Here is a 20,969-nt window from a genome sequence, read left to right on the forward strand (position 1 = left end):
GAGATTTTCCTTAAAGAGGAAAATCAAGGAATTGAAGTCTTCCCCTTAGCTTTAATTTTAATCCCTTCCCCCCACTTTTATGAAGTGGTGCTTAAAACTGGGGGAGTTTATTGAGAAATTATTATTATTATTATTACTATTTTTTTTTTTGACGGAGTCTCACTCTGTCACCCAGGCTGGAGTGCAATGGCACGATCTTGGCTCACTGCAACCTCTTGTCTCCCAGGTTCAAGCGATTCTCCTGCCTCAGCCTCCCGAGTAGCTGGGATTGCAGGCACATGCCACCACACCTGGCTAATTTTTGTATGTTTAGTAGAGATGGGGTTTCACCATGTTGGCTAGGGTGGTGTTGAACTCCTGACCTCAGGTGATCTGCCCGCCTCAGCCTCCCAAAGTGTTGGGATTTCAGGTGTGAGCCACCACGTCCGGTGAGAAATTATTTTATGTATACAAGATTATCCTTTGATATTATCATTTATACATTGTAAAGAAGGTGCCGTTTTTGCAGTGCCAGTAGTCCCAATAGTACAGTGAGTTCTCTCCATTAAGTATAATCCTCCCGGGATTTGGGATTTGTGGTTGCCATGTTGCCACTGGTAAGGTTAGAGTCTTCATAATAGCCGAGCTGAGCAAATTCTTCCATAGCAGGCACAGAAGAAATTGTGCAGGTCACCTCTGGGTCAAGAACTTATACAGAAGATAATGCTGCCTTGGCTTCTGGCACTGGGGGGTTGGGCTGGCCCTTGTCTCTGGATGCTTCAAATGAGATGCATTGGCAACTGTCCAAATTGGAAATAAACTTCTCAGGTTCCAGGCCTCCCTTGGCTCTGAGGCCTGTGTACGGGAGACAGCAGCATCTGGGGTGGATGCCTGCTTTACCAAAGATCAGTCTCCAACCTTGAGGGCTGTGCTGCTTATCTGTTGACAGTTGGGGAGCAGATTGCCAAATACAGGTCAGGAGGTGTATATGACCTATAAAAGGGTCTTCTCCTTTTCCAGTTAGGCTGCTCAGGGCTTCAGCTTTATTCAGTTGTTCAATTTTATTTTGTTATTGTTTAACAATTCTGATGTCTAGTTAAAGTTTAGTAATGCATTGGTTTGAGGGAATATGGTCTGAGTCACAAATCCATAGAGCTACTATTATGCAGGGATGGAAAGTGGCTTTTTAATGGAGTTGACCAATCTGTTCCTAATATGAGTAATTAGTGATATTTACAAGGTAGCTTGAATCCTGATAGGCAGAGCACACTGGTGTTTTTCGTTTTGTTTTCATGGAATGTGTAGCGTATCATTTCTTTAAGATTTTATCCTACTCATCTTTTAATACTCCATTCAAAATGGAGTTCCTGTGTCCTGGTCCTTGTCCTTCACTGCTCCCCCGAGCACCATTTCTAGGACTACTTTATGTCAGTACTATAAATATTGCTGTACATTGTGGTGTACTTGTCTTTCTCCTTTTGTAAGTTGTAAACGCTTGATTTTATTCTTGTGTCTTCAGGGCCTAGTACTTTTCCCTGTTAGAATAGATGCTCCATAAATGTCTATTCAATAAATAATTTTATCCTGTGCACTGTGAATATATTGTCACTTTTTAAATATTGTTTTCTCCAAATATAAATTCTAGGCCATCCTATCAACATAAAATTTCTCAGAGGTGGTAAGATTGGGCTAGTCAAGGACTTAATGAGCAAGGGAACTTATAATACTATTTTTTAAAAAAGAATATTAGCAGCAATGGTTAGAAAGGGTTAAAGCCCCATAAATCTTTTTGAATAACATCTGTTTACATTGTGTTCATTTTAAGTTAATCAGCTAAAAAGTGAATGCATCCTTTTGCCAACCAGAAATCAAAATAATACAGCGGTTGGCATTCCCCTAGGCCACCACCTGGTTGCTCTTCCCTATTTAGAAACTAAGCACTACTATCATTTTGGTGTGTATATGTCTGTCTTTTACTATTACTTACATTTTTAGTCTTGTAGAAACGTGCAGTGTGTGTGTGTGTGTGTGTGTGTGTGTGTATGTGTTTTGGTAGAGATGGGGTAGTGCTGTGTTTCCCAGGCTGGTCTCAAATTCCTGGCCTCAAGCAATGCTCCCACTTTGGCCTCCCAAAGTGCTGAAACTATAGGTCTGAGCCACTGTGCCTGGCCTTGTATGTGTTTTTTGTTTATTTGTTTGTTTTTTTAACATGAAAGATCTTGTACTCCATAAAATGTTTTACAATTCTATTTTTTTATGTAACAATAGCTCATGTTGGAAGATAAAGATTCACCTTACTTTAAAAAATTATTGCATGACTCTCTGTCCAGATACAGCATAGTTTACGAAACCATTTTTTTAATCGATAGGTATTCAGATGGTTTGTGGTTTTTCCTCTCTTAACAGTGCTTTAGCAGATATCCTTGGTGTGTACTAAGAAATACTGGTTCAGAGGATTTACCAGTTTATAGTCTCAAAGTGAGAACAACTCAATGTGGCAGGTTTTTAATTTTCATAACTGTGATGGATGAGAAAAGTATCTCATTGTTAAATGTATTAATATCTTTCTTAAGGGTACATATCAGAATTTACGCTTGTGTCTTCAGGGCCTAGTACTCCCAAGCTCAAGTGATAAAGATGGATCACTTTATCAAGTGATAAAAATATGGTTTCCTGGCATAATTATTTACACAAATGTGGCTGGCTGTTTGAAACACAGACTTTGGGTTTAAAAGATTTTTTTAAAAAGTTGAGTTTGTGATTTCTTTCTCTTTTTTTCTTTTTCTTTTCTTTCTTTTTTTTTTGAAACAGGGTCTCACTGTGTCACCTGGGCTACAGTGCAGTGGCGCAATTTCAGTTCACTGCAACTTTGACTTCCTGGGCTCAGATGATCCTGGCACCTCAGTCTCCCCAGTAGCTGGGACTACAGGTATGCGCCACCACACCCAGCTAATTTATATATATATATTTTTTTTTGTGGAGACAAGGTTTCGCTGTGTTGCCCAGGCTGGTCTCAAACTTTTGGGCTCAATCTGTCTGCCCCCTGTGGCCTCCCAAAGTGCTAGAATTACAGGCATAAACCACTGCACCCAGCCAAGTTTGTGATTTTATATGAAGAAACACTTATTCCCTGCCCCCAATTCATTTTAGTTTAGCTTATAATACAAAGAAAAAAGTATTCTTTGTTCTTCAGTTTCCAGAATGAAATTATTTGAAGGCCAAGACCGTGGGAGACAGTTTCAAACTTGAAAAAACAGTTTAATACAGCATAGAATCAAGACACCATATTATATTCTGATTTAGAGAAATGGATATTTTGATTGTTAATTACTTATAATGGCCAAGGTATAAGACACCTTACAAATATTGTACAATATGGTATTTTTTTTTAATTTAAAAATTGAAACAGAGTCTTGCTGTATTGCCCAAGCTGATCTTAAACTCCTGGGCTTGAGTGATCATCCTGTTACACCCTCCTGAGTAGCTGGATTACAGACGTACATCATCACACCCAATGAATATAGTATATTGTCTTCTATATTTTATGGTTTCTTAAGAATTTTGCAGTAAGTCAACAGTTTTGTTTAATTGCTTTATGGTATTTTGTTTATATATATGTCTTGTATTGGCTTAGTGAATATAAGTAAAATAAATAGTTCTAAAAAATTTCTGGCCGGGCACAGTGGCTCACGCCTGTAATCCCAGCACTTTGGGAGGCCGAGGCAGGCGGATCATGAGGTCAGGAGATTGAGACCATCCTGGCTAACATGGTGAAACCCCGTCTCTACTAAAAAATACAAAAAAAATTAGCCGGGCGTGATGGCGGGCGCCTGTAGTCCCAGCTACTCAGGCGGCTGAGGCGGGAGAATGGCTTGAACCCGGGAGGCGGAGCTTGCATTGAGCCCAGTTAGTGCCGCTGCACTCCAGCCTGGGTGACAGAGCGAGACTCCGTCTCAAAAAAAAAAAAAAATTTTTTTTCTGCCTTTTTCTAATTTCCCGAAGAGAAAAAAAGGCATTGAAAGTGAACCAGAATATAAGCTAATTATTCTCCTAATTACTTCTGTTGCCATTTGAGTTTGTTTGCTAATGAAATTCTTTTTTTTCTTTTTTTAAATACTTAAAAAAAAAATGGAGGCCAGCTGCAGTGGCTCACGCCTGTAATCCCAGTATTTTGAGAGGCTGAGACAGGAGGATCCTTTGAGCCCAGGAGTTCAGACCAGTCTGGGCAACATAAATCCTATCTCTACAAAAAAACAAATAAAAAAATCAGCTGGGTATGGTGGTGCATGCCTGTAGTCCTAGCTGCTTGGGAGGCCGAAATGGGAAGATTGCTTAAGCCCAGGAGGTTGAGGCTGCAGTGAACCGTGATCCCGCCAGTGCATTCTAGGCTGGATGACAGAGTGAGACTTTGTCTCAAAAAAAAAAAAAAAAAAAAAAAAAAGAGATAGGGTTTGGCTACATTGTTCAGTCTGGTCTCCAGCTCATGACCTCAAGTGATCCTTCCATCTTGGCCTCCCAAAGTGCTGGGATTACAGGCACATGCCACTGTGCCTGGTGTAAATTCTTAATAAAAAACGAGGCCGGGTGCAGTGTCTCACACCTATAATCCTAGCACTTTGGGACGCCGAGGTGGTCAGATTACCTGAGGTCAGGAGTTTGAGAACAGCCTGGCCAACATGGTGAAACCCAGTCTCCATTAAAAATGCAAAAATTAGCCAGGCGTGGTGGCAAGTGCCTGTGGTCCCAACTACTTGGGCGGCTGAGGCAGGAGAATTGCTTGAACCCAGGAGGTGGAAGTTGTAGTGAGCCAAGATTGTGCCACTGCACTCCAGCCTGGGTGACAGAGTGAGATTCCATCTGAAAAAAAAAAAATTCTTAATAAAAACTGTTGTTTTAAAAAAATGCATTTTGAGACAGCATATCTGTTTTAATTGACTGAGTTGTCTTTCATTTTTGATACTTTATTGTAATATGTCATTTTCACTTTAGGAACTATATATTGTGTTCATTAACCTTAGTGTTTTCTTTTTTTAAATTCTTTTTCTATGGCTGTTTAAAAAGAAAAGTAGAAAGAAAAAGGTTTTATGCTTTAGTCATTTCATGTGGTAATTATTACAGATCTCTCATTTCTCCCTTGCCTGCTATTCGTTTAGTTTACAGTGCTAAATGACTTACCTTTTTCTTAACCAGTTTGTTGCTGTAGCTTGTTACACTTTTCATTCTTGCTGTTATCCCATCTCTAGATTCAAGTTTCCTTTTTCTTCTTTCCCTTTTAAGCCTGTTTTTATGTGTCCTTATTTTCTTGCCCTATATCTTACTGCTGTATGTACTGTCTCTTAAGCTGAAAACAAATTCTCTCTGTCTGGCCAAGGATTCTGGATTCTGACTGTCTTCATGGACCTCTTTGAAATCTACTTGTTGCAAAATAATTGGGTAATGGGGGCTGGAGGTCTAGGAAAAAAAATTGGGTAGTGGCAAAGATCATTGTTAAATCAGCACACTTTAAATATGTGATGTGGCCAGGCGCAGTGGCTCATGCCTGTAATCCCAGCATTTTGGGAGGCTGAGGGGGGCGGATCATCTGAGGTCAGGAGTTCAAGACCGGCCTCGCCAACATGGCAAAACCCTGTCTCTACTAAAAAATACAAAAATTAGCTGGGTGTGGTGGTGCACACCTGTAATCCCAGCTACTTGGGAGGCTGAGGCAGAAGAATCACTGTAACCCAGGAGGCGGAGATTGCAGTGAGTCGAGATTGTGCCACAGCACTCCAGCCTGGGTGACAGAGCGAGACTCTATCTCAAAAATAAATAAAATAAAATAAATAAATATGTGATGTGAAAATGTTACTTGATATTAATTTTTTTGTTCTTTATAGAGACAACATAAGGTATATGCTGGATTTGAAGTTTTGTGAAGATAAACTAATACTGATATACATCTGTTCCTCCAGAAACTTTAATCTTCTCTGAAACTTTGTTACAGGTTTTAACTGAACATAGAGCTATGTTTAGCCATTTGGGTTGAAGAGGGCATTTACTACTCATCCCTTCAATCAACAAATATTTAATAATTCCCTCTATATGATATACTATGTTAGATACTGGCTGCTTATGAATAAGCAGTATGTAATCCTGGACCTTAAACTCTAAGGAGAGATTAAACTTTTTTTTTTTCTTTTTTTTTGAGATAGAGTCTTGCTCTGTCACCCAGGCTAGAGTGCAGTGGCTTGATCTCGGCTCACTGCAACCTCCGCCTCCCAGGTTCAAGTGATTCTCCTGCCCCAGCCTCCCGAGTAGAGTAGCTGGGACTATAGGTGCACACCACCACACCTGGCTAATTTTTGTATTTTTAGTAGACACAGGGTTTCACCATGTTGGCCAGGTCGGTCTCAAACTCCTGACCTCAAGTGATCCGCCCACCTCAGCCTCCCAAAGTGCTGGGATTACAGGCATAAGCCACCGTGCCCAGCCGAGATTAAAATTTAATAACAAAATTGGGCCTTGGGCATCTAAAAGGTCAGTAAAATTGATTATTTTGAGAATAAAGTAGAAAACAAAGCAGAGAGAGACTAACACTATGTAAAGTTAAAAGTAGGTTCATAGAAAGGGGTACCTAATCCTGAGAAGGGTTAGAGTGAATGACTTCGGGGAGGAGGAGAGATTTGCTTAATTTTTGAAGCAGAGAGTAGAAATGCAATACAGGAAGAATAGGGGAGAGGTCTTTCTGGCAGGAGTACAAATTGTGTGCATGGAATGGTGACTCTTCAGTGGCCTTTGTGCACAGCAGATATGCTACGTATAGAGGATACCCTTGGAGAATTTGACCCATTCTGTAACAGTGAGAGGGATATTTTTTGAGTTCCTCCATCTCCAGCATGGAGTTGACACGTTGATCTCTGCTGGGGATAACTCAGCTTTCCAGGTTTTCAAGGTTGCATGTGTTTCCTCCAGTGTCATTTGGAGAAACTGTTTCTGTTCAAGATAAGATAAGACAAAGGGGGCTCCGTGGGTGGCTCATGCCTGTAATCCCAGCACATTGGGAGGCTGAGGCAGGTGGATCACGAGGTCAGGAGTTCAGAGACCAGCCTGGCTAATATGGTGAAACCCTGTCTCTACTAAAAATAGAAAAATTAGCCGGGTGTGGTAGGTACCTGTAGTCCCAGTTATTCGGGCGGCTGAGGCAGGAGAATCACTTGAACCTGGGAGGTGGAGCTTGCAGTGAGCCGAGATCGCGCCACTGTACTCCAGCCTGAGCGACTGAGCAAGACTCCATCTCAAAAAAAAAAAAAAAAAAAAAAAAAAGATAAAGGAATGGGGGGAGTGGCGTGTCACCTAAACCACGTGTGGACAGATGAGGACTGGTGCTGGAGTTCAGAGTGAAACTAATTATTCTGAGTAACCTTACTCTAAATATTATAGTGAGGTGAGTCATATAAAGTATGGGCAGGAAATTGAGATGACTTTGGGATGGGTTGCTCAGTTCTCTGGCTTAATGAAAATTTCAAAAAACATATTTTCCTTTGCATTTTGAATCTGACTTTGTGCTGGGGATTTTGTTTGAATTTAATGATAGACCAAAATGCAATTACTGTACACATTACCTTAATGTGTGTCAGTTTAAAATAGTTTTATATTGTCATAGATTTTGTGGATTTATCTTGGTTTCTTATACCAAGATAAATTCTTACCTTACACTGTCTTTTACTGTCTCTTACCCTTATTATATTCAAGATTCTTATTGCTGCTGCTTCCACATAATTTTTTAATTCTTTTTTTTTGGAAGGGGCAGGACAGCATGAAAGTATTTTTTTTGTCATTCTTTATAGCTGGTTAAAAGGAAAAATGGAAAGAAAAAGGTTTATACTTGAGTCATTTCATATGGTGATTATTACGGATCTCTAATTTCTTCCTTGCCTGCTATTCATTTAGTTTTCAGTGCTGAATGTCTTACCATTCTCTTAACCAGTTTGTTGCTCTGCTTGTTACACTTTTCATTCTTGCTCTGTTATCCCATCTCTAGATTCAAGTTTCCTTTCTCTTCTTTCTCTTTTCCCTTTTTAGCCTGTGTTTATGTGTCCTTGTTTTCTTGCCCTTTATCTATTATTGCTGTGCATACTATCTCTTAAGCTGAAAACAAATTCTCTCTGTCTGGCCAAGGATTCTGAGTGTCTTTGTGGATGGACCTCTCTGAAATTTACTTGTTGCAAATTTAGTTTTTCACAAAAGAACAAGTGATAGTCCTTGATAATCCTCAGTTAGCTAGTTAGCTTTTTTTTTTTTTTTTTTTTGAGAAGACAGGGTCTTGCTTTGTCACCCAGGCTGGAGTGCAGTGGCATGATCGCAGCTCACTGCAGCCTTGATCTCCTAGGCTCAAGTGATCCTACCACCTCAGTCTCTGGAGTAGCTGGGATTACAGGCATGCGCCACCATGCCCAGCTAATTTTTAATTTTTTTTTGTAGAGATGGGGTCTTGCTATGTTGCCCAAGCTGGTCTTGAACTCCTGGGCTCAAGCGATCCTCTTCCCTTGCCCTCCCAAAATTCTGGGATTACAGGTATTAGCCACTGAGCCTGGCCTCCCAGATAGATTTTTAGTCTTTCCTCAGAGTGCCTCTAGTTTTCTCCTAAAGTTTTAGTTTTTCTATCCTTTGGGAAATAGCCTATAGGCACAAGGTCTTGTTTTGATTTTGAATGGGAAATATTGCCTGGGTCACATGGTTGGGTTCACTGAACCGGTAACCCAACTTGTGGAAATTAGGACGTCGAAGTAGACTTGTTAAGTGGTGCTTTCAGCATTTCTCCCTTTTTCTCTTCCGGTATTTTGATGATGGCTCACAGGGTAGAGGTCTTTATTTTAATAATGACATATTTTCCAGAAGGGATAGTTTCCATCTCTGAGATGACATTTGATATCTTCTTTTTTTTTTTTTTTTGCCATTTAAAATATCCCACTTACCTCAGTAATGTTGACACATACCATAATTAGTAAGGGCCTCGGGCTGTGTCTAAAAGGTCAATAACATTGATTATTTTGACAATAAAGTCAAGGTTCCTTTATTAATGCCTAGGATCCACCTATCATTTTGATGATCATTTAGTGTTTGCAGGCATTATGAAAGAGTTGGAAATTTATCATCTAGACCACAACATAATTACATGACCTTTATTTGTGAATTTTTTAAGGTGAGGGGAGCAAAAAGGCTGTGTATTAGGAAGAGGTCAGATTTCTGCCTTATGGTTGATGGGATGAGGAAAGAAGTTTGAGTATAGTTCTTGTTTATCAGAGTTTGTCTTAAGTGGGATCATGGTGGAGGGACTTTTTTATTTTTATTTATTATTTATTTATTTATGAGACAGAGTCTTGCTCTGTTGCCCAGGCTGGAGTGCGGTGGCGCCATCTCCGCTCCCTACAACCTGTGCTTCCCGGGTTCAAGTTATTCTCCTGCCTCAGCCTCCCGAGTAGCTGGGATCACAGGCGCATGCCACCATGCCCGGCTAATTTTTTGTATTTTTAGTAGAGACGGGGTTTCACCGTGTTAGCCAGGATGGTCTCCATCTCCTGACATCGTGATCCGCCCGACTTGGGCTCCCAAAGTGCTGGGATTACAGGTGTGAGCCACCGTGCCCAGCCATGACTTTTTATATGAGTAGCCAGAGAGATCCTGAATGGGGGAGACTTTATTTGAGGGACTTGGAATTGGGAGGGAAGTTTGAAAAAAAAAATAGGATTGGACACAGAGAATGGAAGTGAAGTTGAAAGCCAGAATTAGGAGTGTAATAGAATCAGGCTGGGGAAAGCCAGCTTTCCATAGGATATGGCAGTATGGAGAAGAGCAAAGTGAAAGGGAAGTTTGCCCGGCGCGGTGGCTCATGCCTGTAATCCCAGCACTTTGGGAGGCCGAGGTGGGCAGATCACTAGGTCAGGAGATCGAGACCATCCTGGCTAACATGGTGAAACCCCGTCTCTACTAAAAATACAAAAACAAAATTAGCTGGGTGTGGTGGCGGGCGCCTGTAGTCCCAGTTACTTGGGAGGCTGAGGCAGGAGAATGGCGTGAACCCGGGAGGCGGAGCTTGCAGCGAGCCGAGGTCGCACCACTGCACTCCAGCCTGGGCAACAGAGTGAGACTCCGTCTCAAAAAAAAAAAAAAAAAAAAAAAAAAAGAGGGTGGAGCTGAGGAATAAAGTATCAGCTGAAGATTGCGGGGTGTAGCTTTAGTTTGAAACTTTGTTATAGAGAAACTAAAAGTGATTTGTGGTTTAATTTGTTAATCCTTGGAATTGGTGGGGGGCAGTGTAATAATGTAAGGAGTTACTTTATAATTCCTTATGCTTTTAGTATTCAGTGCACACTTTCATTTGTTCTCCAAATATGGATTTATATAGTGTTTTTAATTAAGTAAATGTAAATTATCATTTTTTCATCTAGTCATTTATTCAAGGGATATTTTATTGAGCATCAACTGTATGCCAGGCTCTTACAACTCAGGAAAAGGGAGAGAGAGGGATGTATATTAATTGCTGTCTGTTCTATTGCTGGGCAAACAGAGGAATGAATTTAGTATAATGTACAAGTTACATTGGTTTTATATGTAGCTTTTCCCAGGCTAATCTTTGGAAGCACAGAGTAGCAAGCTTTCTCCTATTTAAAAAGAAAGTCATAAGAATAGCTGGAAATTATCCTGAAATGTATTCTTTTGGAGGAAGTAGTATAGTGTAGTAATTAAGAACACAAGTTCTTAATTTGTCAAATTTATACATCTTTTCCTTTGTGATTAATGTTGTTTTGGATCCTAGTTTTTTGTTTTGTTTTGTTTTTTGGTCTTTTCTTTTCTTTTTTTTTTTTTTTTGAGACTGGGTATTACTGTGTTGTCCACACCAGACTGCAGTGGCTATTCACAGGCGTGACTGCAGCCTCGAAATCCTGGGCTCAAGCGATCGTCCCGTGGAGCTAGGAATATAGGCACGTGCTACCACTGCCTGGCTTTTGCGTTCTGTTAATTTTTTTTTTTCCTATTGTAAGATCATGAAGGTAATCTTCTATACAAACTTATAGAAGCTTTATTGTTTGCTTTTCACATATAGATGTATGACCCACCTATGTATAATTTTTGTATATGATGTGCAGTAGGACTCAAATTTTATTTTTTACCCCCAAGTGGATATCCAGTTGTCCCCGTGGCATTTATTGAAAAGTTCATCTTTCCCCATTATCTGCATTGCTTACTTCTGTTGTAAATTAAATCAAGTAAATATTTATATATTTATTTTTAAAATTAAAACAATTTTTTTTTGAGATGGAGTCTTGCTCTGTTGCCCAGGCTGGAGTGCAGTGGTGCGATCCTGGCTCACTGCAACCTCTGCCTCCCAGGTTCAAGTGATTCTCCTGCCTCAGCCTCCTGAGTAGCTGGGATTACAGGCACCTGCCACCACGCCCAGCTAAATTTTTTTTGTGTGTGTGTTTTTTAGTAGAGACAGGGTTTCACCATGTTGGCCAGGCTGGTCTCAAACTCCTGACTTAGGTGATCTGCCCGCCTTGGCTTCCCAAAGTGCTGGGATTACAAGTGTGAACTACTGTGCCCAGCCTATATATTTATATATATATAAATCTTTGCTCTTTTTCCTTGGTCTGTCTGTTCATGCACTATTACCACACTGTTTTATTGTGGCTTTATAGTAAATCTTTTCTTCCTGTCTAGGTCTTCTTGAAGAATGTCTTGGCTATTCTTGGCCTTTGCATTTCTGCATACGTTTTAGAATAAGCTTGTCAAGTTCCTGGAAGAAAATCTGTTGAAATTTTAATTGGGATTGCATTCAACCTAGAGATCATGTTGGAGAGAACTGACATTTTCAGTAGCATTGAGTCTTCTCACCTAAGGTCATAGTGTGTTGCTTACTTTATTTAGGTCTTTGTTAATTTAATAATGTTTTATAGTTTCTTTGTAGTATTCCTATATATTTTTTCTTTTCATTTTTATTTTGCTCTTAATTTCATATTTCCAGAAGGGCTGCAAGGGCTGTACTGTACAGTGAATTCCTGCATACCCTTTACCCAGATTTCTCAGATGAACACCTTACCACATTTTCTTTATCATTTTCTCTTTCTCTGTACATATACATACATATACACACGTCTTGCACAACTTTTTTTCTGAACTTTTTGACTGTAAGTTGACATGCTGTCCCTTTACCCCTAAACACTTCAGTGTGTATTTCTTGATAGCAGAATCATTATCTCATCTGACCATAGGTAACAGTTATCACTACTATACTTTAAAATCTGCAGACTGTTTTCGGAGTTCACATGTCTGAAGCATGTCATTCATAGCAAAGATAAGTCCCAGATTCTGCGCTGCATTCACTTGTTAGTGCTTTAGTCTCACGTCATCTGGAATAGTTATTTACCTTTCTTTGTGTTTCACGACCTTAAAATTTTTGAGGAGTTCAGGCCATTTATTTTGTAAAGATGCCTATGCAATGACATAGCACTACACACCCACTAGAAAGGCTAAAATTTTTTACACTTATACTACTAAATGCTAGCAAGGATGTCGAACAATGGGAACTCTCATATGTTGCTTACCATACTGCTGGGAATCCTACTCCCAGGTATTTATCCAAGAGCAATGTCTACACAAAGACTCACATGTGAATATTTGTAGCAGCTTTATTAATAGTTACCCCAAATTGGAAACAATTCCAGTATCCATCAGCAAATCAACAGATAAGCAAATAACCCCATGCAGTGAAAAACTACTCAGCAGTAAATAGAACCCAACTACTGACAGCCACAACAACATGCATGAATCTCACAAGCATTATGCTAAGTGAAAGACACCAGAACTCAGGAATACATGATTCCATATATATGAAATTCTAGAACAGGCAAAAGTAATCTCCATAATAACAGAAATCAGATAAGTGGTGGCCAGGAGCTAAGAAAGGCAAATGAAATTGACTACAAAGGGGGCATGAGGGAACTTTTTGGGGGAATGGAACTATTCCATATATATATATATATGGGGGAATGGAACTATTCTCTCTCTCTCTCTCTCTCTCTCTCTCTCTCTCTCTCTCTCTCTCTCTCTCTCTATATATATATATATATATATATATATATATGTATTTTTTTTTTTTTTTGAGACAGTCTTGCTCTGTTGCCCAGGCTGGAGTGCAGTGGCACAATCATGGCTCACTGCAGCCTTAACCTCCTGGGATCAAGTGATCCTCCCACTTCAGCTTCCCAAGTAGCTGGGACTACAGGTATGCACCACCATACCCAGCTAATTTTTATGTCTTTTGTAGAGATAGGAGTCTCACTATGTTGCCCAGGATTGTATTGAACTCCTGGGCTCAAGTAATTCTCCTACCTTGGCCTCCCAAACTTGTGGGATTACAGTTTGAGCCACCATGCCCGGCCTATTCTGTATCTTGAACTGTACTCCTAAGAAGTTGAATTTTACTATATGTAAATTATACCTCAACAAATGTGACTTTAAAAAAATCATTAGAATTTGGCACATTAACAGTGCAAAAGTTTCCAGCCTGGGCAACATGGTGAAAAAACACAAAAGATTAGCTAGGTGTGGTGGTGGGTGCTTGTGGTCCCAGCTACTTGGAAGGCTGAGGCATAAGAATCACTTGAACCTGGGAGGCGGAAGTTGCAGTGAGCCAAGATCGTGCCACTGCACTCCAGCCTGGGCAACTGAGCAAGACTCATCTCAAAATAAACAAAAAGTCATTCCAGAACCACGTTCTAGCATCATCTTTCCCTGAGCTTCTTCTGCCTCAGCCCAATCTCCTCCCACCAGTCTTTCTCACCTTTATTCCCACTGTGTCCCCCACACACTCTTCCAGCAGATCCTGAAAAAAACGATATTGCTTGTATTTACTTATGTTCTCCCCACTAAACTGAAGCACCCTGATGGTGGGGATATCCGATTCATGTAATGTAATACCAGCTAATTTTTGTATTTTTGGTAGAGAAGGTGTTTCACCATGTTGGCCAGGCTGGTCTTGAACTCTGGACCTCAAGTGGTCCTCCTGCCTTGGACTCCCAAAATGTTAAGATTACAGGCATGAACCACTGCCTCCGGTCCAGAATGATTTTGTCAGAAGAAGCCATTTGAGCTAAAGCGTAGAGATGGGATAAACCTGGAATACTTGGAGGAACTTGGAGCAGTTGAGAAGGCTGGAGAGTGTGGACCTGAGGAAGGAGGTGGGAGAAGGGAATTAAGGAATTAAGGTGGAATTAAGGAATTGAGGAAAGAAATAAGCGTTTGTCATGCTATTAAACAAATTTTTTGAAAAGCAAAGGCAACATGATATTCCTTCATATGCAATGTAACTTCTTCACAAAACCCAAAAATGAACATTATTCAGTATGCTGCAAGTAGGTTTTACTGATGAAATGAAGGAAGATGCTGAGAGGTCTCTAGACTCACTTGCTATTTAGATGTCTAGTTTCAGGTTACCAACCTCAAAGTACTTTCTGCCTTTCAAATTTAGATCTTCAATTCATTACAGTACCAGGTTTCATTGAATCTAAAATATCATGAATTCTAAGGTACACAATTAATATTTTATATACTGCTAAGAAAGAAAAAAGTCACTGCCAATTAAGTAATGACACATCATCAAATGCTAAATACATCTCAATTTTAAACGTGTTAATGTGTGAAAAAGTGCCTATTGGAGATACATGGTCTTTCATTTAATCCTCATAACAGGTTTCATGTACATATTATTCACTGTATGTCATAGCTTTTCATGGTAATTCGTATTGAGTAATCAAACCTGTGGTTGTTCACTCTTCGAATGCTGAATTATACCGTATTATAATTTAGTTAATTACCTTTTATTGTTAAATATTTATTTCCAAGTTTTTTTCTTTGTTTTGTTTTTCACCTGCCCCTCCCTCTCCACCTCTTTTTTTTTGTTAACTGCCGCTTCGGAGAATATAAGCTTTTTTAAAATTAATTTTTATTTATAATTGACACATAATTGTACATATTTATGGGGTACAATGTGATGTTTCAGTGCTTGTATATGTAGTATAATGATCAAAGTATATTTACTGCTTTAAACGTGTCATTTCTTTGTGGTAACAACATTCAAAGTCTCTTTTAGCTATCTTGAAATAAACACTACATTACTATTTGCTGTATTCACCCTACTGTGTAACAACACCAGAATTTATTCTTCCTAACTATAACTTTGTACCCATTGAACAACCTCTCCTGGTCCTCCCCCTGTCCTCCACCCTCTTTCATTGGTAAGCACTATTCTACTCTCTACTTTTATGAAATCAATTTTTTTAGATTCCGTGTATGAGTGAGTTCTTACAGTGTTTGTCTTTCTGTGCCTGGCTTATTTTACTTAATATATTATCTTCTAGGTCCATCTGTGTTCCTGCAAATGACAGGATTTCATTCTTTTTTGTGGCGGAATACTATTTACCTGTAGATGGGCATTTAGGTTGATTCTGAGTCTTGTATAAATAAACTTTTGATTGTTTTCTTAAGGATAGATGCCTGGAAGTGAAAATACTGGGTCAAAAAGTCTAAACTTTCTTATGACTCTTGATGTATATGCATATAGTCATGTTGCTTTTCAAAACTACTATACCAATTTAAATTGTTTACAATACTTAAATGTGTAAATTCCATCTTCATTAGCAGAGTATCACAATAAATTTGTTTTCTAATTCTGTAGGCAGAAATAGTATCTCTCTCCTTTTTTTTTTTTTTTCTTTTTGAGATGGAGTCTTGCTCTGTCACCCAGGCTGGAGTGCAGTGGCACGATCTCGGCTCACTCACTGCAACCTCCGCCTCGTGGGTTCAAGCAATTCTCTTGCCTCTGCCTCCTGAGTAGCTAGGATTACAGGTGTGTGCCATCACCCCTGGCTTATTTTTAAATTTTTAGTAGAGATGTTTCACCATGTTGGCCAGGCTGGTTTTGAACTCCTGACCTCGAGTGATCCGCCTGCCTCGGCCTCCCAATGTGTTTGGATTACAGGCGTAAGCCACTTGCGCCTGGCCAGAAATAGTATCTCATTTTTCGGACCATGTCAAAAGAATGATAACATCTCATTTTAGTATATATTTTTTGGATTACTGATTAGATTGAACATTTGATCACATTAATTTTTGTAGGAGATAATTGGTGTATAAGTTTCTGGCATTTTCTTGTGATAATAAGTAAATTATAAATGAAGAACAGATGTAATTATGCAGATGTCATGACATTTTTAATTGTGAGATTTATTTTTTCCCTCATAGTAATATAATAGCTGTATATAGAGATATTTTTTGAGATGGAATCTTGCTGTGTGGCCCAGACTGGAGTGCAGTGGGTCAATGTCGGCTCACTGCAAGCTCCGCCTCCCGAGTTCATGCCATTCTCCTGCCTCAACCTCCCGAGTAGCTGGACTACAGGCGCCTGCCACCACGCCTGGCTAGTTTTTTGTATTTTTAGTAGAGATGGGGGTTTCACCGTGTTAGCCAGGATGGTCTTGATCTCCTGACCTCGTGATCCACCCACCTTGGCCTCCCAAAGTGCTGGGATTAAAGGTGTGAGCCACCGTGCCCGGCCTAATAGCTGTATTTTTAATTGTAAAGAATAATTGATGCAGTTAGAAAGTTTTGGAATCCTGTGAATTTCTAATTTTGATCTGTTGCTCAGTTGTTGATTTTTAAGGTGAGATTTAATGTTTTAAAGAATTATGACTTCAATATGTATAATGTTTGTTGTCTTTTTAATGCTGGGATAAAATTTTAATGATTTCTAACCAGTGTAAGGCTGTGAAACTTGATTATCTGAAAATTATTAAAATTATAATAGTATATCCTAAAAATGTAATAATATGTGCTATTCCAAGTGGTTAAAAAAATCGAGACTTAAATGATAAAACAAAGATTCTGCTATATTCCTTTTGTCTTAAGTTTATTCCATTAGTAAAAAGTACTCGATCAAGGAGACTTTGACTTTTTTCAACTGATGTTAAGAATGAAAAAAGATATCTTGATTTTATGTCATAAGGATGTGTTTGAATACTTGTGAAGCAGAAGCATTTGGCATGAACAGTTTAAAATTGTTACTATTTATTTGTGAACGTTTTAAAATTGTTTAACTTGAACAATTTAAAATTGGTTACTTCTGAGCTACACTAATCCTAGCTATTTTAAACTGGCTTTCAGCAATATATATTACAGTGCATACTTGAATCATTTTTTTGGAACAGAAAATTGGATGTTAAGTAATATTTATTAAAACGCAGAATTTTTCTGTGGCAAAATATTTCTACAGTGGGCTCTGATAGAAACAGATTTTTTAAAGAAAGTAGAGGGGTTGGCACAGTTCAGTTGACAGCCAGTTGATGGACAAAGAGGAGCCTTGTCCTAGTGCTCTGTTATGTGGCTATGGATGAGTCACTTAAATTTCCTGCCTGTTTTTGTTTTTGGAAATGAAAACAATAACACTGGTTATGGATTGTTCATATTATAAAAACAGTTAAATTCTGATGTTCTGCCGAAAAATTGGTTCATCAGTCGGTTATAATTACTGTTGCTACTTGGTTCTAAGTTTTTAAGTTTTAGATTAAGATGGATTTCATGGCTTGATCCAGTCCAGCACATTTTAAATGATTTCACTTTATAGATATTAATTAGTTACCCTGGATGATGAGAAGGGGTTATCAGTATCTTGTTAACAAAAGAAGCTGTTAAATTATTCTCAAGAATATAAGGTGGACTGTATACTTATTTTTTACAAAGGGAAAAAAGGGGAATTTGTGCCATGGAAACTAAAGATCCCATTTATTTTTGTCATTATGCCAAAAAATAACAACAGTGTTTTCTCTCTGGCTTATTTAGAGTGGTAGAGCTTCTTTGACGTTTCCTATTTCTACCTCTGCTTGTATCGAGCTGTAGAACTCTTCATTTAGAATATAACATTTTCAAATATTGAAAAATTACTTTTTTTTTTGTGGGATTGCCACTAGGTGGTGGGTATAATATGTGAGGAATGATCAGCAGTAATAATAGTTCTGATAGTTTCGGGTACCTATATTTTTACATTGTTGTGCTTTTTCATTATTGTGTATATTTGAACATTTCTGTGAAACTTAGTTTCTTTTCATAATTATTTTGTTTATTTTCTTTAGAGACAGGATCTCGCTCTGTTGCCCAGGCCAATGTGTGGTGGTGTGATCATAGCTCACTGCAGCCTTGAACTCCTGGGCTCAGGTGATTCACCTGTCTTAGCCTCTCAAATGGTTGGGATTACAGGTATACACCACCATACCCAGCTAAATTTTTTTTTTTTAATTTTTTTGTAGAGACAAGATCTCGTCATGTTGACCAGGCTTGTCTTGAACTCCTGGCCCCAAGTGATCCTCCCACCTCAGTCTCCCAAAGTGTTGGGATTATATGCACGAGTCACTGTGCATAATGATTTTAAAATTTCAGAGATCTCAAAAGATGTTACTGTACCCTGGGATTAGTCCTGTTTCCCCTTAGGGAAAATATTTCCAATTTTATAATGAAAGTTAGAATACAAGTCAGTGACAACATAATCCACTTACCTGAAATGCATTTTACAGCAAACTTTTAAAGATTAAGTTACAATTCTTATATAAGACAATTATATTACTAAGGATTGAGGCTTAAAAAATGATTAAAATGGGCTGAGTGTGGTGGCTCACGCTTGTAATCCCAGCACTTTAGGAGGCCAAGGCGGGTGGATCACCTGAGGTCAGGAGTTGAGATCAGCCTGGCCAACATGGTGAAACCTTGTTTCTACTAAAAATACAAAAATTAGCCAGACATGGTGGCGGGCGCCTGTAATCCCAGCTACTTGGGAGGCTGAGGCAGGAGAATTGCTTGAATCCGGGAGGCAGAGGTTGCTGTGAGCCAAGATCGTACCACTACCCTCCAGCCTGGGCGACAGACACTTTCTCAAAAAAAAAGAAAAAAAAATTAAAATGAGAAATGTAAAATTGTCAGATTAATAAACTTTATTAAACATTCCCAAGGCAATGATGAAAATAATTAACAGTGAATTATTCTATAAAGATGTGTTTCCTTGTTAAACATTGGACTTCTTGATAAACATGGAGAATGTCTACGTACATTTATATCTTCTTTCTCTTCTGAAACATCATTAGAATGATAGTATAGGAATTAAAAAAAATTACATAGTTGGGAACATCCCTACCAAAAAGTTAGATGTGCCCAGTTACTCTAGAATGAAGTCATAGGTCTCCATGTACTTACATCGAGCTGCTGGTTAGCTACTTAGTGACTTTCTAAATATGAATGGAAAACAAGTTGAGAAAAGCCTTTCCATGAGAAAGAAAAAAGCAATAGAAGGAGAAAAGCAGCCAGAAGTAATCAGAGACAATGGAGGGAAAGTAAAAATGTGACTGTAGAAATAAAATTTTCTGTGGAAGGGTTAGAAAGTCAAGTGGAGGACATTCCCAAGACGGTGGAATAAAGGGATAAATATATAGGTAATAGAAGAGAAAAGAGGCAAGAGTAAGAGTGGCAATCTTATAGAAGGAGAACATTAAATTATAGACCTCAGAAGGCAAGAACTGAATAGGAAGACATCTAAAAAATAGAAAGAATATCAGAACATTCCTCATTGTATGATTTGTGCTTCCAGACTAAACATGTTCTTAATGTATGTAGCACAATGAATTCAAGCAACACAGAGCCATATTATCATGGAAGTTTAGGGCACCCAGGATTAAGGCAAGATCCTTCAAGCTTTCAAGTAATAGGGGTGAAATAAAAAGGGGTACGAATAATCAGGAACCTAAAAGGCATAGCAGTTCTGGATGCTAAAATATATGTTCTCAAAATCTTGAAGAAAAATGACTTTCAACCCAGAACTCAATTATATGTGTGTGTTCAATCAGTAATTTAAGTATGAAGGTAGAACAAAGACCCTATTGAGCATGAAAGGACTCAAATACGTACCTAGGAGCGAGCAGTGAAGGGAAGCCCCAGAATAATAGCTGGCAGTAGTTTCAGAGAGCAGCCAAACAAGGGAAGGAGGGGTGGGAGGCACTGTTGTTGGTTATATAAGCAAAAAAAATAAAAAAAATAAAAAAAAAAATAAAATGTGCTCTTTTATCACCTAATAAGAAAATTAATATAAAATGCGTCTTTGTGAATCACTGTTAATATTGAATGGACCTTGTGAGAAGATTGTAATTAATACTACTTCATTGTGAACAACTAAACTGAAGAAAAAAAGGCTTAAGCCTTCAATGCAAAGAAATTCATCCTTCATGAAGAATTCTCAGTAGTTCTAATGGATTCTATTCCAGGATGGTAATTCTTGTGAAGTGAGACCAAATTGTAGCTGAGTTGAATTTTAATTGTTGAATAATCACTGTGTAATTAATTCCAGAGAATGACTGAGATTATGAAATAGTAACTGAGTACTTGAACTACTCTGAAACTTTAGATTTATCTGACCTTAATGCCTACGGACTTAAAGTTGTTAGTGTAAAGACTCGAGAATGAATTTTGGTGTAGGCGGAAGGCAGCAGCTTTAAAAGAAATCATCCTATGTTGGTGGTTAGGAGTCAAGGCAAAATGCCTGCAGCACCGTAGAGGAGAGGGTTTTTATTGTGAGATCTACTTTAAAAAAAACCAAAAGTTTGCTTACTTTTAACTCCGGGGAAACTGAAGCTTTTTAACCCATAAATAACATTCCTTTGAGATATTGCCATGCTTTATGAGCTGGGAAGGTGTATGGAGCTTTGGATCATATAATCAGTATGATCGATTATTTTTGTTTATGAAAAGTTAACTGTTTGAGTAACTTTTTAAGTGCCTTGACAAAACCATTATGGTTTTATCAGGTTTTATAGAGGATCTCAGTAATGCATAAATTGTGTCTGTCTCAAGTCTTTGTCTGAAAATTAAAAAATCCAGGCATACTATTCCACTGGGAGACATTCCCATTATAATGTTTGATT

General features: G+C 38.6%; 1 protein-coding gene across 15 annotated transcripts in view, besides 1 other annotated feature; it reads left to right on the forward strand.

Moving 5' to 3' along the window:
- The window catches only part of MYO6 (myosin VI), a 170,299-nt gene that overhangs the window by 25,424 nt on the left and 123,906 nt on the right, over positions 1–20,969 (forward strand). Inside the window, exon 2 of one of the 15 annotated variants that reach the window (NM_001368139.1) lies at positions 2,791–2,908. The exons of the other annotated variants lie outside the window; for them this stretch is intronic. The gene's annotated coding sequence lies outside the window, so the exon portion shown is untranslated. The remainder of the gene's footprint in view (positions 1–2,790; positions 2,909–20,969) is intronic. 15 annotated transcript variants of the gene reach the window in all.
- Positions 7,026–7,125: an enhancer, noted in NCBI's record as "active region_24762". NCBI's record gives its function as "activates an Ori minimal core promoter by ATAC-STARR-seq in GM12878 lymphoblastoid cells {active_cell/tissue: GM12878}" and the evidence as "EXISTENCE:reporter gene assay evidence [ECO:0000049][PMID:35858748]".

The sequence above is a fragment of the Homo sapiens genome, chromosome 6, assembly GCF_000001405.40.
Source record: "Homo sapiens chromosome 6, GRCh38.p14 Primary Assembly".
Lineage (NCBI taxonomy): Eukaryota > Metazoa > Chordata > Mammalia > Primates > Hominidae > Homo > Homo sapiens.